Source organism: Homo sapiens, chromosome 3, assembly GCF_000001405.40.
Source record: "Homo sapiens chromosome 3, GRCh38.p14 Primary Assembly".
In the NCBI taxonomy this organism is placed as follows: domain Eukaryota; kingdom Metazoa; phylum Chordata; class Mammalia; order Primates; family Hominidae; genus Homo; species Homo sapiens.
Window position 1 is genome coordinate 74,334,161 of NC_000003.12, and position 27,281 is coordinate 74,361,441.

The following is a 27,281-nucleotide window of genomic DNA, read 5'->3' on the forward strand; positions in this document are numbered from 1 at the left end:
GCATTTGTGTTGTGGAAACACACCGATCTGGACTTGAAGTTCCACCACTAACTAGCTGAGTGACTCTGGGCAAGTTGATAGACTTCCAGTCCTCAGTTTGTGCACCTGTACAATGAAGCGTCTTACTGCTAATGTCTGGTGCAATTGTGAGGATTAACAGTGATGATGTACCCTGGCCTGACACATTAATTGGGATCAAGCACCTGGAGGAGACACTTAGTAAGTGCAGCTTTCTCCCAGTTCATCACATATGTGTCATGTTGAAAACAAACACCCGTAAAAGAAAATCTTCGTTTCCATAAGACATTAACAAAACAAAGTAATGAAAAGTAACATTTACTATAAATACAACATCCATCAATTGTAATTGTAATTATACATTGAAGTAAATGTGTTCAATTTCTGGTAATTACAAAAATAAAATTAGATCAAAACAGAACTGAGAACCACTCAACCAAAACCACTTATTTAGAAAACATTTCTAGAGCATTGTCTATATGTCAGACAGTTTTCAGAAGCAATGTGCCAGAGACACATGCAATATAAAAAGTATGAGGAAAGTGCCACAACTTACCCCACCAACTTTCTCAAAGTGAGATCCATCTTTCTTAAAATCTGCAAGGGCCCCATTGAAATACCAGGTAAAGATGATGTCTAACAGCGGGTCATGTTGTACCTGGCAGGGCAATATGACGCTTTCACCAACAGAAACATCCATGTTAGATGGTGCCAAAGTTATTCTTGTTGGTTCTATTGGGGAAATAATTTTTCAGAAAAACAGCATTTTATTGTGATAAAAGACATTTGCACAGGCAGACTGTTCATCTAACTTATACTGTGTATGTCTGTAGATGCATATACATAAATATACATACATCTATATAATTAAAAGTATTCAACATTAAAAGAGGCATTTTGATGCAGAGCTACATTTCACTGGATCCACAAATTCTTGTTAAAGAAATTAGGATATTTGAACTTGTAGGACATGTAAGTTTAAAAATTAAAGTCGTGTAAACAACAGTTATATTATTATTAACAAAATCAATTTCAACTTAGTTTTATTGTTTTTTGAAATGTAGGGGTAGAAATAGAAAATACTGTGTTTTCACCAACTTTGACTAGAAATTACATCACCATCAAAATCTAAACAGACATTTAATGGTAGCCTGGATTTGAAAGATATAATACAAAAGATGCTAGAATAGGTACAAAAAGGAGGGGTACTATGTTAAAATGCTAATTAATGTCTGTTTTTCCCCAACGCAAATGTCCACATGCACATTTCTTTCTCCCTGTCATCACCACCTCCTTCCATTTGTCTATCATGAATTAAAATTCTCTTGACCCCATTTTCCCACTGCTACTCCACATTACTTTGCACTACGTTGGACCAAAGTCTTCAAAAGAGTCATTTATGCATGTTGTCTACAATTATGCTAGTCAATTCCCTCTTTAACTCAGTCTAGCCAGATTTTGGTCCTCCCAACCCCCGTCCTCACCAAGGTCCTCATAACCATCCTGCTGATATATCAAAAGGTATTTAACATCATGCACTTCTCTGCTCAAAACCTTGCAGCCACTCCACTTTTCAATCCAACTGAAATAATTCCTCAGGAGGTCTACAAACTGCTTGCATAATTATCACTAAGAAATCTGTTAACTGACACCTTCATGTCCATGAAATCTTTTTCCAAATCTCTCCTTCTCAGTGAGGTTTATTCTGATCATCCTGTTGCTAATGCTCTAACTTACCTCTGCCACTATGCACCTCTTTCTTGTTTACAATTTTTGCCTTCTAATAATTTTCTTCTTTCTTATTCCTACTGTTATTTTCTTTCTCCTTTTATAGAAGGTAAGATTCATGAGGACAGTATTAGTGACAATGTGCTCAAGGATACAGCCCAAGCAACTGGCACAGAGTAGGTGCTCCAATTTTTTCATGAATGGATAAATGAATAAAATATATCCACAACTTTAAGCAATTCTTATTTATATCCTGTTATTTCCTGGACTTGAACATCTCCAGAAAAAATCAACTATAATGAAAAAAACAAAGTGTATCCTAAAGACCTGACATAATAGAATTTTATTTAAAAAAAAATAGAATGAGATCATCAACATATGCTATTTGTAACTCTTATTGCCTATCAACCCAGCACAGTAACTAATGTGCTCCCTGGTGCACACTGTGCTGTGCTAAGGAAATATTGTTCCCTTGACTTTCACCTGTTAAAAATAACATAAGTGCAAATACAGGTTCTACCTTCATAGTGTACTGAACATTGTGAAACACATAGTTACTTTCCTCATAATAATACATCTTACAGTGAATCCGTATGTAAAGCAATATTTTAGAAATGGACCTACCCGTAACAACCAAATGTGTTGTGCCATTTGCTTTCCCAAACTGGTTTTCTGCCATGCAGGTGTAAGTTCCAGCATCAGCTTTAGTCACATTGGCTATTTTGAGTCCTCCATCGTTTAACAAAGAAATTCTAAAGCAAAGACAAATAAGATAAATAAATATATAATAGCCATTTTTTTTCCAAATGAATATACATATTTTTACAGAACATGTTGCCTTAAGCTAGTATTTTTAAGGCATGATCAACCAGTCCTTAGCTTTTTGGGAATACAAAAAAAAAAAAAGAAAATTCACCCCTCACTCACATACATAAACACACGCACAGCATTGGATGACAAAAGATGCTCCACCAATTTGAACTTTGTTCAGTATTTTTACTCAGCATTACTTATTACACCAAAGTTGAGAGGATGCACTTATCAAATAAGTGTCAAATGTTTTCCAAAAATATTAATATATGTTGTGGTAGATTATTCATGGAGTTAGCCTAATCAATTTTAAAGAAATGCAAAGTAGGCAGAACACTATGTCTCTTAAATTTGAAACAGTATATGAGAAACGAGAAGCTGCATGTCTTTTACTATGAACTAAGAGAGTCACATCGCCCCAATAAAAACTGTAATTTTCCAAAAGAACATTTGGGTGGTCCCCTGTGAGCTCATGAAAAGAGCCTAGGCAAATCCAATAAACCTTACCTTAGAGTTTCTTAGTATACACTTAGAGTACTCAAAGCTTTGGCATCTGACTAATTAATTAAGGAAATATAACTGAGTGCTTTACATACACTTAGCACTATAAGAGAACCTGGAATTATGGGGTGAGCAACACAAAAAGTCTCCACCTTCATGGAATAATATTCCAGTGAGTAGCATAGACAACGTAGTACTCTGTTTTCATGCTGCTGCTAAAGATATACCCAAGACTGGGTAATTTATAAGAAAAAGGAGATTTAACAGACTTGCAGTTCCACGTGGCTGGGGAGGCCTCACAATCATGGTAAAAGGTGAAATGCATGTCTTACATGGTGGCAGGCAAAGAGGAAACGAGAACCAAGTGAAAGGGGTTCCCCTTATAAAACCATCAATTCTCATGAGACTTATTCACTACCACAAGAACAGTATGGGGAAACCGCCCCCGTGATTAAATCATGTCCCACCAGGTCCCTCCCACAACATGTGGGAATTATGGAAGCTACAATTTAAGATGAGATTTGGGTGGGGACACAGCCAAACCATATCAACAACAAATAAATAAGTAAAAGTAAGAAGTTCTGATTTTTGAGAAGTACTCAGAAGGAGATAGACAGGGTGATACAATAGAGAGTAATTACTTTAGGAGGAAGGGTTTCTAGGATAGGGTGCATCAGAAAAGCCTCTTAGAAGTGGTGTCATTTGAATTACGAAAAAAAAATGAGATGGGATTAACCTGTCATTAATCTGATCACTGTATCTTTATTGCTCTAATTTGTCTACTCATAATTATGTTCTCTTTCTTTGAATTCCTAAAATAATTACTATCCACATAATGCATTTAACACTTGAGTGTCTTTATCTTTTATGGCTCCTATTTTTGACACATGAGTGAGTGAAAATGGATGGTAAACTTCTTAAAAATATTTGCAACCCCAGTATCAGCATGGCGTCATATATGCCAACTATGGTAACTAAATGCCTCCAAATTCTGGGCCATTCAGTAGAATAAATAGGAAAAATACTGAGGACATTAGACTAGAATGAAGGATCTCAATCTGTAAAAATGTTTATTGCAAAATTTTTAGGTGTGTTTCAAAAATGTTACTACAAGGGTTTCTGTATAAAAATGTATAAGATAGATTTTGTTTTATTTATATATGCATATGTGTATGTGTGTATATATATACATATGTGTATACATATATGTGTATATACACATATATACACACGTGCACATATGTGTATACACATATGTGCGTATGTGTACACACGTGCGTGTGTGTGTGTATACACATATGTGTGTATATATCTCTCTCCATATTTTTCTCCTCCAGTAGACTATAGGAGACTGCCACCCATCACTTTATATATGTATTACTTTATAGTCCATTACTCACTTTCATTTGCATCCTGGTTACACTTCCTTCAGTGAGAAAATCATGGTGGAATTAGAGCTAGCACACAGGTTCATGATCCTGGGTACAGCTATCTATTACGGTTTGTTATGCATATGATTTTTTTAAAACTGTGTTAAGGTATATTTAAAATAAAAAGGTTTGAGAGCAATGACCTAGAAAGCTCATCAGGGAACCATGGCACTGCATGCCAACTTGAGGAACTACAGAGAAAGGTCAAAAATTCCAAGAACTTTCCTAGGAATTAAAAACAAAACAAAACAAAAAGGGACATACCTGATTCTTCTCGTGGGACCCTGAAGGTTGTAATGCATTTTGTTGAGTGTGAAATGCCTCCCATAACTTTACTGGAAAAGATAATCAAATAACTTAAAAAAATCTCTTTATACCTTAGCCTATCTGACAACAAAGATTTTCCTAATGAGCATGTAATAATAACTTAAAGAAGAAACCCTGCAGAGAAGTAAAAATAAATAAAAATTTAGGATATGGAGACTGGAAGTTTTAAGGAACATGGAGAAAAAACTTAGACATGTCAATCTGATCACGTGATCCTGCCCTCCTCCCTCCAGCTGTCCAGGCAAACCTTGCTTAGAACCTCCTCTTTGGTGTCACATTGCCTGGGAGATACAGACTATATCCTAAGCCTGAACCATATCCTCACATCAGGACCTCTGCCTCTCTCTAACTTCATATGACTTCATGAATTCTTTTCCTTGCTTGCTTTTCTCCAATCACACAAGCCTTCTTTTAATGACTTTTTTGCTTCTTTTTGTCTCAGGGCCTTTATAAAAACTATTTCCTCTCTCTGGTTGACCTGTATTCATCCTTCAGACTTTACTTACTTTCCTGAAACCATGAGTTAGATTCGATTTTCCTGTATTTGATCAAAACATTCTCTGTGCTTTCTTCATAGCACCCATCGAGTGTCCAATTACATATTTGTGTTCTTATTTGACTAATATTTTTCTCCTCCAGTACACTGTAGGCTCTCTGGAGGAAAGGACAATATCTAGCTCACTCACCACTAAATTTTTAGACCCTTGAAAAGTGTCTGGTACAGAGTAGACATTCAAAAATAAAACTTGTTGAATGAGTAAATGACGGTATGCCTTTAGAGAGTCACTGTAAAGGAGTTGGGGCTAGTGAAGCTGGGTTGCAAGGCACTGACACCTTATAAATAATAAGCAAATAGATTCAGAAAGTGTGCAGACTAATACAAACACACACACATATATGTGTGAACTAATTGGATACAGATAGATAGATAGATAGATAGATAGATAGATAGATAGATAGATAGATAGCCAGCCCTCCATATCTGCGGTTTCTGCATCTGCAGATTCTGTAGATTCAACCAACCATAGATAGAATATATTTTAAAATAAACAGATAATAACAATACAGCAATAAAAAAGTACAAGTGACAGAACAATATGGTATAACAACTGTTTACACAGCACTTACATATTAGTAGGTATTGTAAGTAGAGACTATTTAAAGTATATGGGAGGATATGCATAGGTTGTATGCAAAAGCCAAGCTATTTTGTGTAAGGGCTTGAGCATCCATGGGGGTCTGGTGGATATCAAGGAAATACTATGTACACATATGTAGCTATGTTGTTTACATATATGTAGCAAAAAGATAAGGCAATAGAAGACTGAATAAAGAGAATTTAGAAATGCCTTTCCCAGGATAAGAGAACTGAGAATATGCTTGTACTTGTTAGAGAATAAGTAAACAGAGAGGGAGAGACTGAAGATAATGGGATGGAAAAAAAGAGTGAGAGAGGAAACTGTCAGAGAAGTCTTGGAGGAAAGAGAGAGCATGATTAAGAGCCATGCTCCCAACCCATCTGATCGCTAATCCCATCAGTAAAATTTTGGGGCCATGACACCCAAAGAGAATGACACTTGATTTATAGTGTTGCTCCGGAAATTTTACCTATCATTGTTATTAAAAAGAAAATGCAGATGTGATGGAGAATTTTAATATGCAAAGACCAGAAGATGGCAGATTATATCAGAAGTTTGGGAAGATACTTAAATAATAAGGCAAATTAATCTGCCCTAAATTATAGGTTAGAGATAGAATGGGAAGCTTCAAGAAGCTGGGGATCTACCACTTCTATGATTAGTAAGCCTTAAAACAAAGTAAAAATGCCTCTTGTTGACTGAACATTATTGAACTTAAATTGATATTTTCTGATTTGGAAACTACAAAACAGAGGTAGGTAATTTCAGGTATCTTCTATGCAATGAATTAGTGTAACAGCTAAGTTTCCACTACAAATACAGAAGTGCTAGGAATAGAGGAAGAACTACAAATCCTTTGGTGTATTAGGTTTAGTAACTTTAATTAAGCAAACTTCAAGTCAAGCAAATCATGCCCATGTTGAAATGAGACAAAACCTAACACCTTCAGAATCACACAAAGACTTCAAAGCAAACATATTGACTCTCAAAGAATGCAAACTCTATGTATATTGTAAAAATTTGAACTACTTGGATATTTTCTTCCTAAATTGGTTCTTCCAGTAAGTTCTAAGAGGCCCACAGGGCATTTGCACAACATAAAAATAAACAATATTCAGTAAATGAATGGAGTAATTGTTTCTCAACAGAAAACCTTCAATAACCCACGCTTCCCTACAGAGATTCAAAGTGAAAATTTTATACCACTTCACTATAAACGAATTTGCTTTCTAAGCTTTCTGAGAACAGGTTTATCTGCAAATGCGTAGAGCTGAAAATGTAGATAACGATGAGTGACTCCTGTCTTGGCACAAAACGTTAAAAAACAATTTATGAAATTAACATTCAGTGCTCCAGTTTGCTTAGGGAAATGTGCAATTTAAATCACTGTGGCATTTTAACTCCTTGATCAGTTTTATAATATACTTTTATTTGTACCTTTTTATTGGTACTTCCTTTTGTAGTAGGAGGTTAATTATTTCACTTAACTTTGTGCAGTCTATGGTTAGTTTGGGATAAGTAAATGTAATTGCTCTAAGCTGCTCTAATGGCTCATGTTGTAATTATAGTGATGGCATTAAATTTATGACTGTTAAAAAACTTTGTTTGTTCATAAAGTATACTGTTGTCTAGACAACATTGACCTGTACTTTATGATGACATTTAAGCATCTATAATAATGCAGTGTGTTTTAGAATGGAAAAAGTCTAAAGCATTACGGATGGCAAAGCAGGATTTCTGAAAATATTGTTTTTCCCTGCCTATATTCTTCTGATCATTACGGTAATTTATTCAACTTGAATTTTAACAAACACACTGCAACTCTACATTTTCTCAGGAAGCATATCTCAGTGGAGTTGCAATCACATGAGATCGTAATGATTAAACTGCTGTGTAGAAAATAACAAGGCTCTTTTAGATGGTACTTTCTGAGTACATATTCTAAGAGATGGATGCTTACATTACATGTAAGACAAAAGTACTCACAATGCATATATTACAGGATAAATAATGACAGTTAAGAAAAGCAAATATACATTGATGAAAATGTATGAGAAAATAAACATGAGAGAAAAAGACCATAGAGTATATGTTCTCATTTACAACTGTATATGTTCTCATTTACAACTGCTCTCACCCCCACGTTATTGGTGAAATAACTGCTTCTCCTTGAGTTCAAAGATAACCTGCAAACAGTATTTAGGAAAATAGTATTAGCGTTTTTATTCTTCTACCTATCCTATTTTGGGCTTTCATGTTATAAATTCAGCAGTGTTAGTATAGTGATTTATTGGTTAGTAAATCTCCAAGGAAAGGAAAAGCAGAATGGAGGAGATCAGCAGTTAATTAACCTAACTTTGAGTAAGTACCAGGCTAATAACAAGCAGCTCTGTGATTCTGTTGAACATACACATTCTATGGAACAGACACCTAGAGAAGATGGACCTTGGCTCTACTCTATAACCTAGGGAAAGATAATGAATTCATATCATTTAACAGGTCCACATATTCATAAGTTAAAAGTCAACAATAAAGGAACATTTTCACTTCTATAAAATGTTGCTAAACGCATATTAACATGACAAATATATTTAGAGCCAAAATCACTTTTATGACAATGACTGAATAGTTTTTCCTACTAAAATGGACTCAAATCAATAGAAGAAAAGACCCCTATAAGGGGATTTCCAGTCTAAATGATTATATACAACTATCATCTAAGTAACTCATAAGGCCCAGGCAATACTCTCATCTGAAACATTTGCATTCTTATACAAAGGAGTCTTTGGAAAAATTATAAATACTCAGACGCACGAAGTAGTAACACAAACAAAGGAAAACAGACAAATGAGACAAATAATTCTCTGATGTCTTATATATTAAAAGAAAACTTCAAAGGGGATATTATTAAGGTTCACAGGCCCCTCATACTTGACACTACTATTCTTCTATGCCTCAGAGAGAGTTATATGAGTCTAACCAGGGAAAATAAAAATGTCGGCTTTATTAGTTGTATTACAGATAAAGGTGATGCAAAACTGCTTAGATGAGCGACAATGGTTTCCTGACATTTCACTCCAGAATTAGGCAGGCTTAGCCTTCCTGGCACAGGCAGACCACCTCAGGCCCTCCCCATAAGGGCAAGCCCCATTATTGCGTGGTAAAGAGAACAGCAAAATACGTCCACTCTCTATGTGCAGCAAACACCAAAGAGAAAGAAGGGGAAAAGTTGAGCTAGAGTGTCAGGGTCTTCTACAGAAATTTAGGAGACAGACTCTTTCTCTGGGGAGTCATTAGAGAAATATCCAAATGTTACTCCAGTGATTGTCCTTCTACTTAGAGACTAGAAGCCCTGGAATGGAAGTCATTCCACACTAATGTCAAAGTGCAAGATACCTGCATTTTATGCATAAGGGGAATTTCATCACCTCAAGGTATGTAGAGGATGCTGAATATTTTTTGGCTGTCCAGAATTGATTCCTCATTCTTTGGCAACTAACATTGATCTTCCTTGAGGAATTCTTTGCCCCTATTGAATGCAGTCTTGGTAGGGCTATGAATCACGGTGTCTTGTCGTATCCTAGCCATGGGCTAGACATATAAGTTGGTATTTTTGAAACTTGACTGTGTACCAGTTACCTAGCGGATTCTTCAAAATGCCCACTGCCGGGCCCACCATCAGATTAGGTCTGGGATGGGGCATAAGGATTTGCATTTTTATCACATTCTCAGGTGATACTGGTGCTGCTGATACAGGGACTGCGCTTTGAGAGAAAATGTTCTAAGCTATGTCCATTGGACTCTCCCTCTTCAGACTCTGATTTACAACAAAAAGACCAAAATAATCATTACTTCACTCATCCCAGCACTTGCTCCAACAACATGGTACAATGCCTGCTGCCAAGATTTCTGGAGCCAGTTTCCTATACATTCTTAAGTTAGGTTGTTTCTTAGCTAATAATTGTTTGTAATATCCTTAATTCTCAGCTAGAGTTCACAAACCCTTAAAGGATACAGATTATGAAATGTTGGTGCTTTGTACATAGTAGTTTTTTTCAATAAATATTTGTTGTCTCAACAAATATGAAGAGTTCAGAAATAATCTTCTATGTAGAGAGGACAAGGTTTTATCACAGATCAACAGTGGACCAACTAACACCCTGCCCTGCTGTTGAGTTCTTGCAAGATAGAATAGTTTTGCCCTTTTATTCCAATTCTAAAGTCATCCGCTTTTATTAATATCCATCAATATTTAAGTAGTTCATTTACAACCTTACACAGTGGTTTTTTTTTTTTTTTTTTTTTTTTTTTTTTTTTTTTTTTTTTTTTTGAGACGGAGTCTCACTCTGTCCCCCAGGCTGGAGTACAGTGGCGCGATCTGGGCTCACTGCAAGCTCCGCCTCCCGAGTTCACGCCATTCTCCTGCTTCAGCCTCCCGGGTTCACGCCATTCTCCTGCCTCGGCCTCCCGAGTAGCTGGGACTACAGGCGGCCGACACCACGCCCAGCTAATTTCTTTTGTATTTTTAGTATAGACGAGGTTTCACCGTGTTAGCTAGGATGGTCGCAATTTCCTGACCTCGTGATCCGCCCGCCTCGGCCTCCCAAAGTGCTGGGATTACAGGCGTTGAGACACCGCGCCCGGCCATTACGCAGTGTTTTTAACCTTTCTAGGACACAAGGTTCTTTGAGTACTTGAAAAATCTGGGAAATCTCTCTGTAGAACAAATGTGTGTGTGCACATATGTATACGTATACACACACACACACACACACACACAAACAATAACAGTTTTCATACAACTGAGGAGGGGATCAGATCATCTAAGATATATGGGCCTCAGGTTAAGAACCTCTGCTAGCAATTCCATTCATCCAATGACGCAGAAGTAGGTTTGCAACCCCTTTGTCTTAGCTGCTTCAGTGCTAGCCTTTCTAGAAGTGCTTCATTGACATTTTCTTTTATGATGACTGTGTACATTTGATGATGGGTTCCTTACAAATTATCTTGCAGTGAAACAAAATGGTAATGTTGCTCAAGAAGCTGGGTCTTGAGTCACACATTTCTTCATACAATATAGAGGGCTTCAATTTGCTTTCCCAGTAACATCTCAGTCCTGACAACCTGAACATTCTTGTCCCTCCTCCAAGCAGAGAGTTTATCACCAACTAGTCAAGCGCAGGTTCTGGTGGGCCAACACACCTTTCATAAGGTAATAAAACTTTAGTGCTAGTTCAATGGACTCGTTTAAGCATCTGACTCTTCATTTGCACTGCAGCACCTTCTCTGTATCTCAGGTTTTTGATTCTGAGCATAACCTTGAAATAACATCTACTCCAAGGCTTCTAAAAACATACGTGAGAAATAATGAGAAATGGTGAGAAATAATATTCATGGTAAGTTAGCTAAAAGAAATGTGGCCTATGTATTCCTCAAGAGTCTTGAGTGTTAATATTCAGTTACCCTTAAGTTGTGAGCGGTAAAAGAAGTAACCTTTAAAATTGATTGTATTTTACTTTAAGTATGAGGAGTATAAGTAGTACATTACTCACTGTTCTCTCTGTGGGCATCCACTGGATTTGGACACACACATAACATTTCTTGGCCAGGAGGAGTTGTGTATCTCCTTATCACATTGTTTCATTTCATCTTACAGATGCTGTGGATTGTTAATTCACAGTATTTTTCTCTGTTCATTTGTTACCACAAAGCTCTCAGCCAAAATTGTGGATCTCAACTAAGTTGGTATATATTTTGTAAACTAACTTCATACATTCATTCCACAAATATTTATTAACATGGACCTTGCTCTGTCATAAACAATAAAGATTCCATGGTGAGGATTTATGCTGTTCTAAAGAAACTTACATTCTAGGCAACTGGAACACTGGCATATTTTTTCTCCTCAGTGTTCACTTTGTGTATTATTTGATAAACTGTCTCCAATTCTTTGTGAAATACGACACGATATAAGTAAATGAAATAGAATAGAAGATATAAAGTTATTAAAAGTAGGCTAGAGTAACAAAGAAATAAATACAATAAAGTATAAGTTTATAAAATTATCTAAACTAAGAAAACAAGATTTTATTAAACTTTGAAATACTACTATTTTCTTAAGTAAATTCATAAATGCTAAGAAAAAATAAGTGTTTAAAATAATCTTTAAGCTAAAGTTAAAGGTGTCTCTTTTTTAGTATTTGAATGTAAAAGGTTAGAAAATAATCTCTCTTCTTTTCCAAAACAGGATAGATTTTTATATATTCCTTCTCAATTATATATATATATTTTTAGAATTTCAGACTCAAAAAGGGTCAGATACTCTCATCTTCCCATAAATGCTACTCGAGCAATGAAATCTGCATTAGGACAGAATTGTAAAATACACAAATAAGATCACAAAGTGGAAAATGGGTCATAGTACAAAATGAATTGTTTGGAGTGAGGCAGTGAGAAATTTACCTCAGTGTAACAATTCTATAGACTTTGTATAACAGATCATAAATTATGAGTAAGTCCTCTCCAGGGATCACAATATAGGAGGCAGAAATCATCATTACCAATCTGTATTTTCCACAGAAGTGCAATGGAAACGGCACTTCACTCGACATCTCATTTGACATCCATCCATCCATCCATCCATCCATCCATCCATCCATCCATCCATCCATCCATCCATGCATCCACTCACCTGACCTGTTTCCATGAAGGGCTTCAGGGAGGGGGAAGAACATACTAAAATATAGCACACTCCATATTTTTTAATAGAAAGCCTCAAGTAGAAATCTATACAAAAATCAATTTTTTAGATTTCTAAGAAATAGTCGCAATAAATTAAACTGGAAAATTATACGTACTTTTAAGACATGGGAAGCTGTCCAAGAAAGAGTGAAATGCACTTCAACAAATATTTGTTGAGTACTTAAAATGCAGTAAGTGTTTTGGAAAATACAAGTATGAGTAAGAATTATTCCCACACAGGACACAGTCTAAAGGCCAAGTTGGGAGCTGTATAATTCATGCACAACAAACATAAAATGTGATCATTAGGTAGGAAATATTATGTCATAAGCATGAATTCAGCCAGCTCTACCTCAAGAATACACAGTCTCTTTTTCTCAGCTGCCACTACTGTGACCCTAAACCAAATCTCCATCTCGCTCTGTCATCCAGGTTGGAGTGCAGCAGCATGATCACAGCTCACTGCAACCTCCAATTCATGGGTTCAAGCCATCCTTCTGCCTCAGCTTCCCAAATAGCTGAAACGACCGGTGTGCACCAACATGCCTGGGTAATTTTTTACACTTCTTGCAAAATGAGCCTCCCTCTGTTGCCCAAGCTGGTCTTGAACTCCTGGCCTCAAGTGATCCTCCTGCCTTGGCCTCCCAAAGTGCTAGGATTATAGGTGTGAGCCACTAAGTCCACCCCACAAGGCCTTTCTTGAAATGTACCATATAATGATAGTTTCTTTTTCTTTATGGCTAAAAAAATTTTATCTTTTCCACTTATTTATATTTTTTCTGTTCCTTATGCAAGCTCCATGAAGAAGAGACCATGTCTGTCTTATTCACTGTGGTATCCTCAGAGCCTTACACATGGCAGAGCACGTGGTAGGTGTTCCAGATTGCATTTCCAAAAGGTGAACACAGTATTTCTCAACCCTCTTGCCCCACTAAATCCTTGCCACTCTCCCATTAAAAGGTTCATTGATGGATGACTAAAGAAAATGTGGTACATATGTAAACAGAATATTATTCAGCCTTAAAAAAGAAGATCCTGCTATTTGTCACAACATGGATGAACCTAGAGGACATTATGTGAAATGAAGTAAACCAGACATAGGTTTGATCTCACTTATATGTGGAATGTTTTACAGTTGGAAAAAAAAAGTAGAATGGTGATTGCCTGGAGCTGGAGGATGGGGGAGATGGAGAAATGCTGGTCAAAGGACAAAGGTTCTGTTATGCAGACTGAGTAAGCTCTGGAGCTCTAGTATACAGCATGGGAATTATAGTTAATTGCACTGTATTATGTACTTGAAATTGCTAAGAGAGCTGATCTTAAGTGTTCTCAACACACACACACACACAAAATGGTAACTATGTGCGGTGATAGATATGATATGATAATTAGCTTGATTGTGGTATTGACTTCACAATGTATACATATATCAAAATATTACCTTCTGCTCCTTAAATATATGTAATTTTTACTTGTCAAGTATACCTTACTAAAACTGAGGGGGAGAAAGTAAAGTCTAACTTCTCTCCCTTTGAATTTGGATAGCTTGTGACTCACTGGTCACCAGTGGAATGCAGGGAAAGTGATGGTGTCTTCAGAGCCTAGGGAATTCAGCTTCCACCTTGCTAGCTTGAACATTCATTCTTAATGCCTTTAGCTGCCCTAGGTAGGCATTATGACTCTTGCTGAGGCCATGATAGCATAGGAAGCCTACACTCACCCATGCGGAGAGACCATAAGCAGAGGCCTTGGGCTTCATGAGAGGAGAGACTGTAATGGACACCTATCTTCCAGCTGCTGTCTCCAGCCCCCATCCCACTGCAGCCACAGGAGACACACTGAGCAAATACTGCCTTGTCAATCAATCTCTGCCGGAATGCCTGACCCATGGAAACCTTGAGAGATGATAAAATGATTGTTGCTTTACACCATTACATTGTTTTAGCAGGGCACATGGTGGCTCATGCCTGTAATCCTAGAACTTTTGGAGGCAGAAGTAGGAGGACTGCTTGAGGCCAGGAGTTTGAGACCAGCCTGGGCAACACACTGAGACCCCATCTCTATAAAAAAAAAATATAAAAATTACCAAGGTGTGGTAGCATATGGCTGTAGTCCCAGCCACTCTGGAGGCTGAGGCAGGAGACACATGTGAGCCTAGGAATTGGAGACTGCAATGAGTTATGATCATGTCATTGTACTCCAGTCTGGGTGACACAGCGAGACCCTGTCTCTTAAAAAAAAAAAAAAAGTTTTAGAGTGATTTGTTATGCAGCAAAAGTTAATGGGAACAGTAGATGTTAAATAAATATTTGAAGAATAAATCAATGTTGAAATGAACAAACATGTACAGAGCAGAGGCTTAGAGTACAAACAGGGATAAGGTGAAGGCTTTGCAAGAATACAGGTGAGATGGTCTTCTACACAAACAGACATAATACACTGTGTTAAATGATACTACTGAATATATAAAGAAACCAAAGTGGTAAAACATAAGAAAGAGCAATTAATCTTGCCTATTCAGCTCCAGGAAGGCTTCCCATAGCAAGTAACAATAAAGCTGGACCTTGACTGATATGTAAGGGTTTTCTAGGTTGAGAAGAAAAGACATTCCAGCCAGAGAAAACCACAAGACTACAAATACAGAATGCAAGGAGAATTCTGCTTCTTTCTCTTCTCCTTTCTTTTCAAACTTATTCAAAAGGTAATGATATATGAACTCTTGTACTGCAACTTGATTTTGTTAAAACAGTCAATTTTCTTACTTCTAGAGAAAGCTCCTTTTCCCCCATCTTAAAAATATTAGAAGAAAAAAATGCAAAAGTAGCATGTAATGATATTGGGCGTTTCTATGATTGCGTTAATATTTTTTTCTTTGAATTTCAAGTGAGAGCAGGGAAACAGAACAGGGATTGGTCTATGGTTAAATGCATGTGGGATTTTTGGGCCTGAGTGAGAAATGCTGTATGACCAAAAGAATATGGTATGGGTAGTTACTCCCTGTAAATAAAACATTTATACTGGGCAAAGATATGAATTATTTATCCAGTTCTAACAACGAACTGGCTTGAAGTAGATTCAAATCCCCAGCACATTCAGATTCATTAACCTGCATTCCCCAAGGAAAATCACAACACTGACGAAATATATTTTAAGGTGGCCTTAACTTCTATGATCCATAAAACCAAATTTGAAATATGGATCTAAGAACTGCATGGTTAGCTGCAAAATTTAGTTGATATGATTTTAGAGACCATGTGTCAGCAATCTGTTTAAAATAACATTTGGGTGGAATTTACTTAAGAAGGTTGAAATAATGTGCAATTCAGTTGATTGTTCTAAAAAAGAAAGGTCTGTACTTACCTTTCTTTTCAGCCCAGACTTATTACTCTTAAGGCATCTGAGCAACATGATGGAAACAGTTAAGTAATAATAAAAAAGACATACTAGCAGCCAACAAACATGAAAAAATGCTCAACATCACTAATTATCAGAGAAATTCAAATTAAAACCACAATGAGATACCATCTCACACCAGTCAGAATGGCTATATTAGAAAGTCAAGACATAACAGATGTTGGTGAGGGTACACAGAAAAGGGAACACATATACTGCTAGTGGGAATGTAAATTAGTTCAATCCTTATGGAGAACAGCATGGAGATTTTTCAAAGAACTAAGAACATAACTACCATCCAACTCAGCAATCCCACTACTGGGTATCTACCCAATGGAAAATAAATCATTCTAGTGAAAAAGTACCTGTACTCCTATGTTTATCACAGCACTATTCCCAAGAGTAAAGTCATGGGATCAACCTAGTTGCCCATGAACAGTGTATTGGATAAAGAAAATATGGTACATATACAGCATGGAATACTATACAGCCATAAAACAGAATGAAATCATGTTATTGGCAGCCACAAGGATGCAGATGGAGGTCATTATTGTAATTAAATTAATGTAGAAACACAAAATAAAAAAAAAAGCACATTCTCCCTTATAAAGTGGGAGCTAAACAATGGGTACACATGGACATAAATATGGAAACAACAGACTTTGGGGACTCCAAAAGCGGGGAGGAAAGCAGGGAGACCAGGATTGAAAAACCATGTTTTCATAGGGTACCATGTTCACTATATTTGGGTGATGGGTTCAATAGAGGCCCAAACTCCAGCACTATACAATATGCCCTTGTAACAAACCTGCACATTTGCCCTCTGAACCTACAATTAAGTAAGTAAAGACATAAGTAGATAAATAAATACATGAAAGCCATATTAACAGCATCAGAAACCTTTTGCTGAGCATCTACAGAGAAGTCATTATAGCAGATACTTTACACACATTATTCTGATCTTTGCAATCCACTGAGTTTTAAAAAGGCGGGGGTCCCACAGAATGTGAGAGAAACGGGGCAGCGACAAAGTTGGAAATAATTTGTCCACAGGAAACCTTGGGTTTATCTGCCTATCAGGGAAACCAATCTCTTTAACTCATCCCTCACTAAGAGTGTGTGCCACACAAATGCCACCCACGAGGCTGACTAACTCTGTTTAAGGATTCCTGGCCTCATTTTCCAGTAAGGAAGCCAAGGCTCAGGAATTATGTAACTTGTCTAACACCCCATAGGTGGCAAGTGACACAGCCAAGATCTGACCCACATCTTTCTGATTTCCATGCTTTGCCCTTTCCATATGCTAAAATTAAAGAAGCAAGTAAAACGTATGTTTAACTTCATCTGACACAGTGAATAATGTGCATCGCAATTCCTATACTGCATGCCAGTTAGGCATTAATAATTCATGTAAATAATGATACAAATACCCACACAGAAACTGAAGCTGTCTGGTGGCTAATAGGGGAAGATTTGTAAGTATATGCTGGTGGTGGAGGGTAGGGTATTAGAGAGAGGAGGTGATTATCACACCATGAGCCCCATCCCAAACCCAAACTCTGGGATTTCATTGACTCTTCTCCTGATTATCTTCACTCTTAAATCAGCTTAATCTTCTCATAGAGTATGGGAGTTATTGGCAAAGGACCTCATTCCTTTTCTTTTTCCAGCTGAAAGCAGAAGAGAAATAGAGGTATGGGTTGGGGAAGCCAGGTCAGGAAGGAAGCTGTGCTCTACTCTCTAGAACTCTTGCTTATTTACCCAGGCATCTCAATCATCTCTTTAAGAGAAGAGTTCTGCCTCCAATGTTCACCTCCTTTGAAGAAGACAAATGGTTTTCTATCTGTGGAAGAACTCAAGCCAGGCTTTCTTATTTTCACGATCATATGTGAACTTTGCCACTGACACAACTGGAATAAAAGAATAAATACCCAGTTTTGCTTCTTACCTGTGTAATCCTTTCTGTTTAGACAGCATGTTCCCTACTCTCTTGCTTTGCTGCATTTTACATCCCTTCCTTTGAGATTTCTGCCCTCATGGAGCTGCTCTCCTGCTTCCCAAGGCTGAGACAGCATTTCTTCTCTCTGCTTCTTACTGGTTTAAAAGACCATGTGGCAACAGTCTCTATAAACACCTTCACTAGAGGCAGGATGGAATGTCCAGTGTGCTCAGCCAGTCCTAGTTTACATGTGTTGTCTTGGAGGTAATTACTAACAGTGCCCCCTTTCCCTTCTAAAATGTCCCAGTTTGTTGAATAACTTCCATGGTCACCTTAATCGTATAGTCTATTCCACTGTAATTGATGGTTTAGTTATCCACATTCTAAACAGACTGTGGGCTTTTTGACGGCTCCTTGATGTCTCTTATTCATCTATGTATTCCCAGAGCCGGACATAATACCCAGTGAAAAATAACAATATGATAAATTAGAAAACAACATGGAGTACCTTCCTTCTAGGCAGAAGGCAGGGACATCAATCAATCTGGTTTTTAAAAGTGATGGCATCCACATATGAAATAAAATTCTCCCTGTGCTTCAAGGTTCAACAGTTAGAAATTCAAGTAAGATACAAAAGCAAAAGACTCACTGAGATCTCAGCTACGTATCTGAGGGTAGATTCACTGAAACTCACTGAGCTTGCACGCCTACCTGACAGTTGCGAGGGAACAACTGTTTTGATGGGTAGACCACGGATGTAGAAGAAGATTAAAATAAAGTCAAGCTTTTTGGATGAAGGGGGCAGTGGAAGGCTGAGAGAGATGGGAGTGGCATTTTGAACAGTATGAAGAAAAGTGGACTCCACTGTGAGGAGAGGAGCCAGGTAGTGTAAGGGAAGGGGAAAGAGATGGAGAGAGACACATTCCTTTGGCAAAGGAATCTCTGTTCTTCATTTAAAAGCTTGAGTCAAGGGGAAGTGCCACCTAAAACAGATTTGTTTGATAGTGACAGAGTTTCTAGACACATCTTTATCAAAGCGAGGCTGTGGCCACTAGGAGGGGCAATGACAGAAATGCTAAGTGGTCTTGGCTCTGATAGAATCATCCTGGTTATTTGCAAAAGTTTAGATTCTGCTTGTAAGTACCATCATCACATTACTCAGTGCTTCACAAATGGCAAAAGTGGCCAGTTAGGAGCATTTCTTGAGCTTTTAAACTCCTTTATGGAACTACTTGATCAGGGTGGAGATGAATGTAAAACTGCATGTAACTTTTAAAATTAAGGCATAGGCCGGGTGCCGTGGCTCACGCCTGTAATCCCAGCACTTTGGGAGGCCGAGACGGGTGGATCACGAGGTCAGGAGATCGAGACCATCCCGGCTAACACGGTGAAACCCCGTCTCTACTAAAAATACAAAAAATTAGCCGGGCGTGGTGGCAGGCGCCTGTAGTCCCAGCTACTCGGGAGGCCGAGGCAGGAGAATGGCGTGAACCCGGGAGGCGGAGCTTGCAGTGAGCCGAGATTGCGCCACTGCACTCCAGCCTGGGGGACAGAGCGAGACTCCGTCTCAAAAAAAAAATTAATTAATTAATTAAATAAAATAAAATTAAGGCATAATTTAAATACAGTATAATACACCTTTTTCTGATGCACAGTTCTGTGCACTTTAACAGATGAATGCAGTCATGTCATCTCTCACAATCATGGGCTACAGCAGGTCCCTCACCCCAAAAATCCTTCTGTGTCCCTGACAGTCAACCTCTACACCCACTCCCAGCCTCTGGCAAGCAGTGATCACTATTTTTTTCCCTAAAACTGCTCCTTTTTCAAAAATGTCATATAAATCCAATAATACAGCATATAATGCTTACTGCATTTTAATGCCAGCTTTTATCTATGTGCAGGAAATACATTAAGATTGGGTAATATCTTTTAAAAACATTGCCTGGATTATAGTTATTCATATTTGGAAAAAAATTCACTCTTTCTTTAAAAGGCATTTAATTTTCAATAGTATTAAATGTTGCATAAAACATTTGAAATAATTTTAATGTGTTAATTAGAAGCAATGAGCCATTCTTTTACTTTCTTCTGACTGAGGTTATTGCAATAAAATATTTACTATTATAAGCAATAGCATTCAAATGAAGGATCCCATTTAAAAAAATAATTAGCTACTATGTTTCAAGTACCACTAAGTGATAGAGATAAGTTAAATAATCTTTAAAATACACCAACTGGCTCTTTCTCACAAACCACGTCTGTTCTCATTCTCAAGGGTCTTTTTCAATGTTAGTTTCCTTAAAAGAGACAAAACATACAGTTTTGATTTGTCTCTTTTGGAAATAGGTGGATTTAAGTGAATGAATGAATGAAATAGCACAAAAACATTGACACCTGGTGAAATACTATGGAATACTGAAAAAGGCAGTACATTTTTGTTTATTCCAAAATGTTTCTTGCTGCAGGGAGAAAAAAAGCACAATAACTTTACCCAATATTGGACTGTATAATACCAATATAAAACAAACAAACAAAAAAAGCCAAAATAAGAAAAAGAAAAACCTTTACTCAATACTGAATGCCAGTAATTATGACGTTTAGAATAGTTGAGCACCAGGTGACTTGGCATTTATTTAATAAATCAATCACTAAATCATTAAATGAGGCTGTAACACAGTTCTCTCTACTGATAACTTGTATGTACGAGAGTTTCAGAGGTAAGCTGTACAGCCTCTACCATTTAAAGACATCTACCCTTCCTAGAAAGTTGTATCCACTACAATGGCTCAGCTACCATCTCCAAGCTCATGACACATAAATCTCTGTTTCTATAGCCTGAGTCTTTCTCCTAAGTTCCAGATTCAGTCAACCTTTGTATGCACGGATATATCCAGTTGGTTTTTCAGTAGGTACTTCAAACTCAACCAATCCCAAACTGAACTTATCCTATTTGCCCTCATTTCTGCCATTTCTATAAGGTTCCCTGTCACTCTGAATGGGTCTGCCATGCTCCCTGAATCCTAACCTGGAAATCTAGGATTTATCCTCGACTCCTGTCTTCTCTTCAAATCATGCCTCTAATCAACAGGTCTTGTTGATATAACATTTTCTCAAACTCCTCAAGGCTTCACTTCATTCCCACTGTCATTTCTTTAGTTCAGGCTGTAATACTGTTTTGCTCAGACAGGTGGATTGCTGCTAATGAGGGATCTTGCTTTCAGTCCTGGTACCACTTCAACCCATCTGCTGGTACCAGTGTTTTTGTTTTGTTTTGTTTTGTTTTGAGACAGGTTCTCACTCTGTTGCCCAGGCTGGAGTGCAGTGGCAAGGTCTCGGTACACTGCAACCTCCAACTCCTGGGTTCAAGCAATTCTCATGCCTCAGTCTCCCCAGTAGCTGTGATTACAGAAGTGTGCCACCATGCCTAGCTAATTTTTGTATTTTTAGTAGAGATGGGGTTTCACCATGTTGGCCAGGCTGGTTTCAAATTCCTGGCCTCAAATGATCGACGTGCCTCGGCCTCCCAAAGTGCAGGGATTACAAGCATGAGCCACCGCACCCTGCTGGTCCTCTTTTTTAAACAGAAATTTAATCCTGTACATCTTCTACTTTGATTTTATTCTGTTGCATCCCAGTGCTTGTGGAATAAAGCCCAAATTCCTTAATTCGGTATACACTGTCATTGACAATAAGACCCCTGCTTACCTCTACTGCCCAATTCTCTCTGAACACTCCCCTCCATGGCACCTTAAAATGGAGGCCCATTGAACAATCAGTTACTCAAGTACCTGCTATGCTCTGAATATGTCCCTCCAAAATCCATGGTGAAACCTCATGCTCATTGTGATGGTATAAAGAAGGGGGGCCTTTGGGAAGTTATTAAGACATAGGGGTATAAGGTCAGTGCCCTTACAAAAGAGATTGAATGGAGCTGCCTTGCCCCTTCTACCATGTGAGGATGCAGCAACAAGGCCCCATCTATGCATCAGAGAGTGAGCCCTCACCAGACTGGTGCCTTGTTCTTAGACTTCCCAGCCTCCAGAACTGTGAACAATAAACTTCCATTATTTATAAATTACCCAATCTAGTATTTTGTTATAGTAGCCCAAATGAACTAAGGCAGTACCCAAACCATGACTGGCCTCTGTACCTTTGCACGTGCTATTCTTTCTTCCTGGAATACTCTTCTCCAACAAAAACCCTGGTCATCTTTCAAGTCCTGCTGCAGACATCACCTTCTCTAGAGAGCTTGTCCTGATCCCTAATTTGGAGATAAGAGCCTTCCTAGGTGATTCCCTGAACATCCTGTACTTTGCCAATTGAGTTTTATTGTACCTGTCCTGTTACCTGTCTGTATACCCTGAAAAGCTACAAACAATGGCATCGATGTATCTGATAAATAATAAATACCTAGTGCCTAGCATATAGTAGGTACTCAAGGTATTTTCAAGTGTGAACTTAAATGTAAGAGCCCAGGAATCACTTTTTGCAGGATAAGCCTTTGTTATCTACTCATAGCAGCTTTTTGAAGACCTCTGTTGGGCAGTAATCCATTTACTACTCTAGCTTGAAATGCTCTCCATACTTGAAAGAAACAACTCTCATTTCTTCAAAGTGATTCTATAATTTAGGTGCCTCACTGACTGAGATCCACATGATCACGGCTGATTCATAATTGCAAAGCTGTTATTGTGCTGCTATAAAACTTTATAAACCAGGTGGATTATGATTATTTACTTATTTATTTATTTTGAGTAGGAGTCTCGCTCTGTCGCCCAGGCTGGAGTGCAGTGGCATGATCTCGGCTCACTGCAAGCTCCGCCTCTCAGTTTCACGCCATTCTCCTGCCTCAGCCTCCTGAGTAGCTGGGACTACAGGCACATGCCACCATACCCAGCTAATTATTTTTGTATTTTTTAGTACAGACAGGGTTTCACCGTGTTAGCCAGAATGGTCTCGATCTCCTGACCTCGTGATCCGCCTGCCTCGGCCTTCCAAAGTGCTGGGATTACAGGTGTGAGCCACCGTGCCTGGCCGATTATTCAAATCTATTATACGATTTACATAGAAGGCACATTTATCAGTTTATCCAATTATTATTATTTTTTTAATAGAAGGAGTTTCCCTCTTGTTGCCCAGGCTGGAGTGCAGTGGTGCAATCTCGGCTCAACGCAACCTCTGCCTCCCAAGTTCAAGTGATTCTCCTGCTTCAGCCTCCCAAGTAGCTGGGATTACAGTCATGCAGCACCACACCCAGCTAATTTTGTATTTTTAGTAGAGACAGGGTTTCTCCATGTTGGTTGGGCTGGTCTTGAACTCCTGACCTCAGGTGATCCACCCGCCTTGGCCTCCCAAAGTGCTGGGATTACAGGCGTGACCCACTGCACTCGGCCTCAGTTTATTCAGTGCTTAAGAAAAGTATTTAATCCTTTGATTGTTTTCTGATTTAGACCTTGAATGATACATATATAGAATATTGGCTTAATCAAAATGTATTTGCTGCCAGTGGCCTCTATGTTAGGCTAGAGAAAGCTTTCATCTTTATCATAAGTTTCTTATTCGCCGACAAGTCCAAATTAACCACTTAAAAAAACTAAAAAATCAAATACACTTCAAATTTTGTCATAAATATCCCATTAAAAAATTGTCTTCTATTCTTTAATGCACCAATGAATTCATTTCTCCTTCAAATAAGATTGAATCTGCATTTTTAAAGTTGTAACAATCCATGATCTAACAACCACAATAAATCTACCATTTAATGTGTTTTTCTGATTTGGCTGAAGCCTGCAGACCAAGTTAAGAGGGATGGATATGGGGCTTTCGTTGCCAAGTGATGACTGCGGCCACTCTGATTTCCCGTGGACTTGGAGAAGGTTCAAGTCCGCAACTTGTTCGATAATTGCTTCTAGCAGGCTTCTCCCTAAGCATCAAGGCCCTGGCTCGTCAGTGTTTTTTGCTGTCCAAAAAGATAAAAACAAAATTCAAACCACAGATCTAAGGAGGATTGGAACACCATGGACCTCTCTTAAATATGTTCCCTCTTTTTAAGGATATCTTCATATATGAAAGCTTATGATCAGTAGGGGAGATATTAGAAATATATCATACAAAGCAGAGTGTCAGAAGGCTTGAAAGGGATAGAGAACTAACTTTTATTACCACGAGACACTGCTGGGTTAGCAATTATTTTCCTCTCTCTCCTTAAAAACACAATCTCAATTTTGTTTATTGGGTGCATTCCCGTCCATAAAAAAAAAAAAAAATTCTGTATTTCCCAGTTTCTCTTGCAGTTAAATGTGGCCAGGGAATGAATTTCTGATTAGTATGGTATAAGGAAGAGTGTTGTATGGGACTTCTGGGAAGACTCTTAAAGGGAAGGAAGTGTATTCTTTTTTTTTTTTTTGATTTATTTATTTATTTATTTATTTTTATTGTACTTTAAGTTTTAGGGTACATGTGCACATTGTGCAAGTTAGTTACATATGTATACATGTGACATGCTGGTGCGCTGCACCCACTAACTCGTCATCTAGCATTAGGTATATCTCCCAATGCTATCCCTCCCCCCTCCCCCCACCCCACAACAGTCCCCAGAGTGTGATATTCCCCTTTCTGTGTCCATGTGATCTCATTGTTCAATTCCCACCTATGAGTGAGAATATGCGGTGTTTGGTTTTTTGTTCTTGCGATAGTTTACTGAGAATGATGATTTCCAATTTCATCCATGTCCCTACAGAGGACATGAACTCATCATTTTTTATGGCTGCATAGTATTCCATGGTGTGTATGTGCCACATTTTCTTAATCCAGTCTATCATTGTTGGACATTTGGGTTGTGTATTCTTATTTCTACCTTCCTCCTTGCTGTTGCCTGGGATGTCACTGGGAGGCAGGCACAAAAACAGTGGTTTTGGTTCATGAGTTGAGAGTGGTGGGACAGCAAGACAGCAGGGCCTGCATCCCTGCTGAATGGAGAGTCCAGGTAGCCTTGACTGTCAGCCTTCACAGTGACCAACCAACCAATGAACGGCCAACCAACAAACAAAAAAATTCTTTTTCAGCCACTTTTACTTTCAAAATTTTATTTATAACATGATCTCATTCTTATAGATCAGTATATGTATATGTACAAATATCAGGCTAAATCCTGATTTTGCAGCGACTATGTAAGGAAGGATATATTATCTCTATATTATGGAAGAGGAAACGGAGGTTCAGAGGTATTACATAGCTGATCTAATGACACTAAATTTTTGTGTTCAAAAATCTTCGAACACAAAAATGTCAGCAGTTCTAAAGGAAGAGTTAACTTCCAGCATAGTCAAAATTAAATAGTTTGTGCCACGAATCTATACTTGTATTAAGTATAGATTAAAGTATTAACTGGCTAAATCAGAAATTCCAGGTTAGATCCTGGAACTTACACACTTTTACCAGCACCATCGCTATACAATGTGGATATAAATATCTCCTTGTGTATCACTAGCTAAATCTCTTAATCTTTTTATCCCCTTTAAAAATTAAGATTAAAAGCCTCTACCTACTATATTTGCTACTATGAGGACAAGTTGATTTAGCATTGTACAAAGCATTGATATCCATGGGAAATAATCTCTATTTAATTCATGTATATTATTGAATCAATTAAAAATTTTTGAACACAAAAATGTCATGAGTTCCATATGAAGAGTTAACTTCTAGCATAGCCAAAATTAACTAGTTTGTGCCACAAGCCTGTAGTTGTTTAAACTGGCTTACAAAATCAAACTGCAAATCACTAATTAACCTCCTGTTCCAGAAATCTATTCTGTGCAGCCTAGCATTTGGTTGGATTATGGTGAACCACTCAATTCACAATTTTATCTTGTCATCCTGCTGTGTCTGCCTTTTAATGAAGGCATCTTCGGCTAAATACTGGAGGAACTGCAGATTGTGCTGTTGTAACCAACTTGTCTAAATATACCTTTGGGGCTAAAATCTAAAAGCCGTTCAACCTGGTCATGTGCAATCTGATGCTGTGATATTTTAGAAAAGCAAATCCACATTTCTTGGCCTAAGGTTTTATTGTTTGTTTGTATTCCTTTCATTTCCAAAGTAATAATTTGGACTCTATGACTTCAATGGCTGAGACCACCTCAAAGATTCTGGGCTCCCTGTACAAAATGTGGCACTGATAAAGCTTAGTGGTTATATCCTAGAGTCAAACAGAATGGCTCCCAATCCTGGCTATGTGACTTCAGGCAAATTAATTCCACTAAGTTTCTGTTTTTTCATTAGCTGCAGAAATATTTAAAAGTGATAATTCACTTAGTGTTCTGTGTTAAGTTTCCTATTGCTGTTATAAATGACCACAAACCTGATGACCTAAAACAACATCAATTTGTTCTCTTACAGTTCTGGAGGTCAGAAGTTCAGTATAGGTCTCACTGTGCTAAAATCAACATTCAGAAGGGTTGCATTCCTTCTGAATCTGGAATCATTTTGTACTCATTCAGGTTGTTGGTGGAATTCAGCCTCTTGTGGTCATGGAACCAAGGTCCCTGTTTTCTTTACTGCTGGCCCCTTCCCTCATCTTCACAGCCAGCAACACTCATCAGGGTCTTTCTCAGGCTTCAGGTCTCTCCTGCCTCTTCTGTGATTATCACAGCTCTCTGACCAATCCTTCTGCCTCCCTCTTCCTCTCTTAAGGGCTCAGATGATTACTTTGGGCCCACCCAGATACTCCAGGATAACCTCCTTATTTTAAAGTCAACTGCTAAGACTTTAGTTCCATCCTTAATTCTACCTTCAAATTTAATTACCTTTTGCCATGTAATATAACACAGTAACAGGTTTCTAGGATAAGGAGAGGGATGCTTTGGGGCCAATTATTCTGCTTATCACAAGCTCTGAGCATAATCCCTGGCAATAAACACTCAATAAACTGTAATAATAAATAATAAATATATAGTAAATTTATAATAGATAAGCAGCAGTAACAGCCAATACTTACGCTTACTTTCTGGCAGGTGTTTACCTAAGTGCTTTATTAATATTTATGTACTTCATCCACATAACAATTCTTGACATTAGGTGTGAACTATTATCACTCCCACTAACAAATAAGGGAATGAGGCACAGAAAGATTAGGTCACAGCACTGAGCAAGTAAAGGCAAAAATGAAGATTTGAATCCAGGTGGTCTAGCTCCAGAGTCTGTGCTTTTCACTAAGACCATCCTGCTTCTTCATCTCAGTGTTATAATTACAGC

At 37.9% G+C, this 27,281-nt stretch overlaps 1 protein-coding gene across 5 annotated transcripts in view; it reads right to left on the reverse strand.

Annotated features, from left to right (window-relative positions):
- The window catches only part of CNTN3 (contactin 3), a 352,092-nt gene that overhangs the window by 71,593 nt on the left and 253,218 nt on the right, over nt 1–27,281 (reverse strand). For 4 of the 5 annotated variants that reach the window (NM_020872.3, NM_001393376.1, XM_011533768.3 and 1 more), the window contains 2 exons: nt 2,371–2,498; nt 575–750 (listed from right to left, as the gene is read on the reverse strand). In NM_020872.3, the coding sequence (NP_065923.1) occupies nt 575–750; nt 2,371–2,498 (304 nt within the window). Of the gene's footprint in view, nt 1–574; nt 751–2,370; nt 2,499–4,751; nt 4,823–27,281 lie in introns of those variants that run through there. The other variant, XM_017006509.1, reaches the window with a different exon arrangement.